Genomic DNA, 7,324 nt, shown 5'->3' with positions numbered 1-7,324 from the left:
GCAGAGAGTAGGATTGCAAATTCTGCTCTTTTTTGCTTTCCATTTGCTTGGTAGATCTTCTTCCATCCCTTTATTTTGAGCCTATTTGTGTCTCTGCATGTGAGATGAGTCTGCTGAATACAGCACACTGATGGGTCTTGACTCTTTATCCAACTTGCCAGTCTGTGTCTTTTAATTGGGGCATTTAGCCCATTTCCATTTAAAGTTAATACTGTTGTGTGTGAATATGATCTTGTCATTATAGTGTTAGCTGGTTATTTTGCCCGTTAATTGATGCAGTTTCTTCATAGCATCAATGGTCTTTACAATTTGGCATGTTTTTGCAGTGGCTGGTACGGGTTGTTTCTTTCCATGTTCAGTGCTCCCTTCAGGAGCTCTTGTAAGGCAGGCCTGCTGGTGATACAATCTCTTAACATTTCCTTGTTTGTAAAGGATTTTATTTCTCCTTCACTTATGAAGTTTAGTTTGGCTGGATATGAAATTCTGGGTTGAAAATTCTTTTCTTTAAGAATGTTGAATATTGGCCCCCACTCTCTTCTGGTTTGTAGGGTTTCTGCTGAGAGATCCACTGTTAGTCTGATGGGCTTCCCTTTGTGGGTAACCCAACCTTTTTCTGTGGCTGCCCTTAACATTTTTTTCCTTCATTTCAACCTTGGTGAATCTGACAATTATGTATCTTGGTGTTGCTCTTCTCGAGGAGTATCTTTGTGGTGGTCTTTGTATTTCCTGAATTTGAATGTTGGCCTGCCTTGCCAGGTTAGGGAAGTTCTCCTGGATAATATCCTGAAGAGTGTTTTCCAACTTGGTTCCATTCTCCCCATCAATTTCAGGTAAACCAATCAAACGTAGATTTGGTTTTTTCACATAGTCCCATATTTCTTTTTTCTTTTTTTTTTTTTTTTTTGAGACGGAGTCTTGCTCTGTCACCCAGGCTGGAGTGCAGTGGCGCCATCTCAGCTCACTGCAAGCTCCGCCTCCCAGGTTCACACCATTCTCCTGCCTCAGCCTCCAGAGTAGCTGGGACTACAGGCGCCCGCCACCGTGCCTGGCTAATTTTTTGTATTTTTAGTAGAGACGGGGTTTCTCCGTGGTCTCGATCTCCTGATCTCGTGATCCACCCGCCTCGGCCTCCCAAAGTGCTGGGGTTACAGGCGTGAGCCACCGCTCCCGGCCTAGTCCCATATTTCATGGAGGCTTTGTTCATTTCTTTTTACCTTTTTTTCTCTAACCTTGTCTTCTCACTTTATTTCATTAATTTGATCTTCAATCACTGATATCCTTTCTTCCACTTGATTGAATCAGCTATTGAAGCTTGTGCATGCATCACAAAGTTCTCATGCCATAGTTTTCAGCTCCATCAGGTCATTTAAGGTCTTCTCTACACTGTTTATTCTAGTTAGCCATTCATCTAACCTTTTTTCACAGTTTTTACCTTCTTTGCAATGGGTTTGAACATTCTCCTTTAGCTCACAGAAGTTTGTTATTACTGTCCTTCTGAAGCCTACTTCTGTCAACTCATCAAAGTCATTCTCCATCCAGCTTTGTTCCGTTTCTGGCGAGGAGCTGCGATCCTTTAGAGGAGAAGAGGTGCTCTGGTTTTTAGAATTTTTAGCTTTTCTGCTCTGGTTTCTCCCCATCTTTGTGGTTTTATCTACCTTTTGTCTTTGATGTTGGTGACCTACAGATGGGGTTTTGGTGTAGATGTCCTTTTTGTTGATGTTGATGCTATTCCTTTCTGTTTGTTAGTTTTCCTTCTAACAGTCAGGTCTCTCAGCTGCACGTCTGTTGGAGTTTGCTGGAGGTCCACTCCAGATCCTTTTTGCCTGGGTATCACCAGCGGAGGCTGCAGAATAGCAAACATTGCCAAACAGCAAATATTGCTGCCTGATCCTTCCTCTGGAATCTTTGTCCCAGAGGGGTACCCCCCTATATGAGGTATCTGTCGGACCCTATTGAGAGGTGTCTCCCAGTTAGGCTAAACGGGGGTCAGGGACCCACTTGAGGAGGCAGTCTGTCCATTCTCAGAGCTCAAACACTGTGCTGGGAGAACCATTGCTCTTTTCAGAGCTGTCAGACAGGGACATTTAAGTCTGCAGAAGTTGTCTGCTGCCTGTTGTTCCGCTATGCCCTGCGTACAGAGGTGGAGTCTATAGAGATAGTAGGCCTTGCTGAACTGCAGTGGGCTCTGCCCAGTTCAAGCTTCCTGGCTGCTTTGTTTACCTACTCAAGCCTCAGCAATGGTAACGCCCCTCCCCCAGCCAGGCTGCCACCTTGCAGTTTGATCTCAGACTGCTGCACTAGCAGTGAGCAAGGCTCCGTGGGCATGGGACCCACCAAGCCAGGCACGGGAGAGAATCGCCTTGTCTGCCAGTCGCTAAGACCTCATGAAAAGTGCACTATTTGGGCGGGATTGTCCCGTTTTTCCAGTCTTTCACAGCTTCCCTTGGCTAGGAAAAGGAAATCCCCCGACACCTTGCACTTCCCAGGTGAGGCGATGCTCTGCCCTGCTTCATTAAAATTAATTTTAAAACAGTTAAAACCTTAGTGTGTTATATTGGATCCTCTGAGAAACAGTAAGACAGTATTAGTCATGCAAGAGATTATCTGGGTAATAGTCTGTGAGGGAAAATGGGGAGGGAGCCAGAGGAGGCCAGAAGAGCCATCAGGCCATGATATAACTCTAATCCCTGTGGAGGAGAGAGGGAAGGAAGAAAAGTTGGGTAGGAAGTCTTAGATTGCAGTGCAGTTCTAAAAACAGTTCAGCAGGGCTGATGTGGGAGTCCTCCAACCAAAACTGTCCATCAGAGGAGTCTACTTCTTGTAGTTATGAGCCTTAGAATCCCTACTGTCTTCAGTCATTGTCTGGGAGCACACAGGGGAGGGATGGCCTCAGCTGGAACACAGTGATAGATTCAGAGCTCAGCATCTAGGGACTTCGGGCAATGATGTTTCTGACAGTAGATCTCAAAGTCCCATTTTCATGGCCACCACACTTAAATACCACACCACCACACTTCCAATAGCCTATGTCTCATCTCCTATATAGTGAATATTCAAGTTTTGGTGTCACAAAATTATTGAAAAGGAATATGTAATGCTGCTTTGAGATATACTTGACAGTATTTTAAAAGCACTTTCAATTGCAACCTGGAGCTAAGGTAGAGATTGGGCCCCAGTCCTGTTCTCCCAGCCGTCAGTGGCATACTGGGTAACGGTAGAATATGAATGGTCTGCCCTGAGAGCAGGCAATAAGGGGGTAATTGATCTGTAGAGAATTTAAAAACAATAAAACCAACTAAAATGTGGTCTGCTTTTTTATGATCACCATGTGCTGGCAACTTAAGGGATGTCAGTTATTCCATCCCGCCAGGGCAGACTGCCACCCACCCACCCTCTACCACCACCACCTTTGTGTGCCACTGCCAGGCTGCGTTTTCCTTTTTTGCATTTCCAGGCATGAAAGTGGATCAAAACATTCACATTTCTTCTTCAGATTACTAAAATGAATGTGTTTCAGAGAATCTTTGGGAATGCTAGATGTCAGAGGGCTTTCATGTACAGTGCCACATGGCTTCAAAAGGGGAGGAAATTACTTTCTTAAAGAGTGGTCAGGGAAGCCCCAAGGAACCAACATTGGATGCTGGAAGATGGTAGATTTTGACTTGGCAGAGAGGAAGACAGTGAGCTTGCAGGCTGGAGGGAGAGTGTCCAAGGGCTCAAGGGGCAGGGAAGTAAAGGATGTATTTGGGAAACTATGAATAGACAAAAATAACCAGCATCTCATGGGGTATGAGTGGGAAATAAGATGGAAAAGTACATTAAAACCATGAATTTTAAGGTTTTTAAATGCCTAAGGAGTCATGTAGTTAAATATGATTGAAGATTTTTGAGTAGGGAAATGACCCAATGAAAGCTCTATTTTACGAAAATTAGTCTGGCATTGGTGTGCAGCATGGAGCTAGTTGGAGGTTAATTCAGAGGAGCCTTGGACAGTCATCTTGAATATCAGGATACAAGGGCCTGAACTAGGGTAGAGGAGGAGGGTTTGGAAACTGATCCAAGGGATAGGAAGGAAGCATCAATATCTCAAGTTCAATGCATATGACACTAAAATTATTGTCTTCTCTCCCAAAACCTGCTCTCTGTCATCTTCTCATCTCTTCAACAGATATGTATCGAATGTCCACCATGGACCAGCAGCCATGTGGGGTCCTGGTAACTTGTTTGTTGGTTCAACTCTGCCAAGTGACCCTTGTTAGAAACCCGGGGTTTCATTTATCCTTGATTCCTGTCCCACATTCTCACCTGCATCTAATCAGTAACTGATTTCTACTGATTTTATACCCTTAGTCATTCCCTCTACATTAAAATAATCTGGGCAAAATTCCAAAGGCCAGGCCACACCCAGATCAATTAAATCACAAGCTTCTTTGAAGACCTCCCAAATGACATGCAGACAAGTTTGGAAACCACTGCCTTTAATGTTTTTCAAGTCTGACTCTGCATTCCTACTACCAAGGCCCTAGTCATTTCTCACTTGGATTACTCACCCAGTTTCTGTTTGTCACGATGCTTCTAATGTTATCCCCCTCGTATTTATCATCTCTACAGTAACCTGGTGACCTCCCAGAAATGCAAATCTGACCATGTCACTTCACTGCTGTGCTTTCATCTCTTCCAGGGCTCCCACATATACAGCATTGCTTCTCAAGCCTTTCTCTTTTCCTGCCTCCATAGCATTCACCAGCATAATACATGTCCTTATGTCCTTCAGTATTGTACATGATGATTTTCAACCTATTTGGGGATGTTGCCCCTGGGGGGACAGTGTAAGAATAATGGAGAAGGACTTAATCTGTGCAACTTTAAAAATACTTTCCACCACCTCTTTTTCTCTCTGTCCCCTTCTCCCCATTCTGATATGTTCTTGCCCACTAAGGGCCCAACCTTTAAAATGGAGTACAGCACTGCACCACCTTTTGATCTAGCCCTGTCTCCCTAATCTCATCTTTTATTATACTAATTTTTACCTTGTTATTTTACTTCATGTACTCCAAACTTCTGAACATTTCTAGTATAAACCATATTGTTCCCGCCCTTTAGGCCTTTGCTTATATCTTCTCTTTATGGAATGTCTTACCTTTTACTTTCCCCTTCAATGCTGTCACTTAAAGCAACCTGAAATTTTGAAAGTAACCAATAAGTCTCAATTCAGGGGTTACCTCTAATAAAGCCTTGGACTCCATACTCCAGCTGGGTTGAGGACCCTTTTTTATCAAGGTCTCTTTGTATTTTTCTCATTAATCTTGCTATGTTGTTCTATAATTAGCTGTTGTAATGGGTCTAGATTTGTTTTTCTCTAAGTTCTCCAGATTTAAAAATTTTATAATACTTTGGTTTTATTTACTCTGAGGTTTTGAAGCTAAGTAATTCAGAGAAGGGCATTGTGATTAACAGAAGCTAGAATCATAAAACATCAATATTGGAAAGGACTTTTAAAAGGAATTTTGTTCAATCACCAAAGTTGATTTTTTTATAATTAATGAATTTTAAGATAGTGCTGTCTATCCAAATGGAAATATCCCAGCATATTTTAGAATATGAAATTATAGTACATGCTGGAGAAATTAATAGAAAAAGTATGTGAAGCTTCTAAAGGAGAGAGTATAGGAAGAAAAGAACAAAACACAGAAGACTGATCATTAAACAACACCTGCCTTCAGGAAACATGAAGAAATTAAGAGATGCCAGTTAAGAAGACAGAAGATTTGCAAAAGGGAATCAGTGTAGTGTCACAAAAATCAGAGAAAGGGGTGTTTTATAAAGCAGGGATTGCCTGTGAGGCCAGTACTCCAGGGGAGGCTCAGACAGCACGTGTTCTTGCAAAGTGACTCTCTGCTGTGACTCATCCTCTGGGAGGGATCATCCACTGGGGGATAATCTGAACCTCTAAGGAATCAGACTTGTAAATTTATGGAGACCCCAAGGCCTCGGCCATAACCTAAACTGAAGTAGTTCCTGAAATTTTTTGGGACTCAGGACCTTTTGATAATCTGATGAACCCTAATGACGCTGTTCTCAGAAAAATGCACATCAGCACACATACGCATACAATTTTACATGCGATTTCTCGTGGCTCACTCTACCACCACCCCAAATATCCTCGAACCTCTCCATGTTTTCCCACATTAGTACTTACAGTTCCACTGTCAGATACCAAAACTTGCTGGGGTCACAAGGACAGGTGATGGTCTAAATCCATGGAGGCCTTAGAAGAAATCCTCCGTCTTGCTTTATCCTAGGGAGCAATAGGCTGAGTAGAGGTATTTCTTGGTGCTTCCAAGACTGCCCAGCTTGCCAATTGAACATTTTCTGGATTCGTGGCTACTGACTAACCAAGTCACTAACTTAAGGACTGCTGGCCACTGTACTTCTCCAAGCCTGGTTTCTGAAAAGGCCTCCTTCAGAATTTTAACCAGCAACACGACTTACCTCCTTTCCACCTGTCTGGCTTTTGACTTTCACTTCTGTTAAGTGGCTCACCCTCATTTCTTCCTTTTTCAAAGTAAAGAATTTAGGAAAGCAATGAAAACATTTTTAGCTTGCACAAATAGAAAAACTGATTGCTTAAATTTTTATGGGAAAAAAGTACAATTAGTTAACTTTTGTCCATCTCAGCCTTAGAAAAGAGCAAAGATGTGGAAAATTCAAACACTGGACAATAAAATGCTATATTTGATTGTGATTCATATTATGAATCTATTATGAAGCTTTTTTTAACCTATTTTTCTGATTTTAATTTCTTTGGTTGAGCATGGAAATGATTCTGCAATGGCTGTATGGACAAGGACATGTTGGGAACTATACTAAGATCAAAATGTGTTCAGTTGATTCATACATGTCATTAGTAATTGAGACTTGAAATGTCTTCAAGAGAGAATTTTAGAGTTCTGTAAATAATGGAAGTTTCTTAATGTGGAATATGAACTTTGAGTGAAAAAAAGTAAAAGCAAATGTGAAAGAATATTAGTCTAAAAATAATTACGGTGGTCAATTATATATTTGAGTTTTGTTTTTAATTTTTAAATTTTTTTTAGAGACAGAATCTTGCTCTGTTGCTCAGGCTGGCACAATAATAGCTCACTATAACCTCAAACTCGTGGGCTCAAGCTATCCTCCCACCTCAGTCTCCTGAGTAGCTGGGACTACAGGCATGTAGCCATGCCCGGCTAATTTTTGTATTTTTTAAAATAGAAACAGGCTCTCACCGTGTTGTCCAGGCTGTTCTCAAACTTCTGGCCTCAACCAGTTCTCCTGCCTCAGC

General features: G+C 42.0%; 1 annotated feature.

The window, feature by feature from the left end:
* Window positions 3,891–5,090: an enhancer, noted in NCBI's record as "CDK7 strongly-dependent group 2 enhancer chr11:27340270-27341469 (GRCh37/hg19 assembly coordinates)". NCBI's record gives its function as "activates an origin of replication core promoter dependent on BRD2, BRD4, P300/CBP, MED14 and CDK7 cofactors, with strong dependence on CDK7, by STARR-seq in HCT116 cells {active_cell/tissue: HCT116}" and the evidence as "EXISTENCE:reporter gene assay evidence [ECO:0000049][PMID:35650434]".

This window comes from Homo sapiens, chromosome 11 (genome assembly GCF_000001405.40).
Source record: "Homo sapiens chromosome 11, GRCh38.p14 Primary Assembly".
In the NCBI taxonomy this organism is placed as follows: Eukaryota; Metazoa; Chordata; class Mammalia; order Primates; family Hominidae; genus Homo; species Homo sapiens.
Note: the sequence above shows the minus strand (reverse complement) of the source record. Positions and strands in the feature narration are given on the sequence as shown.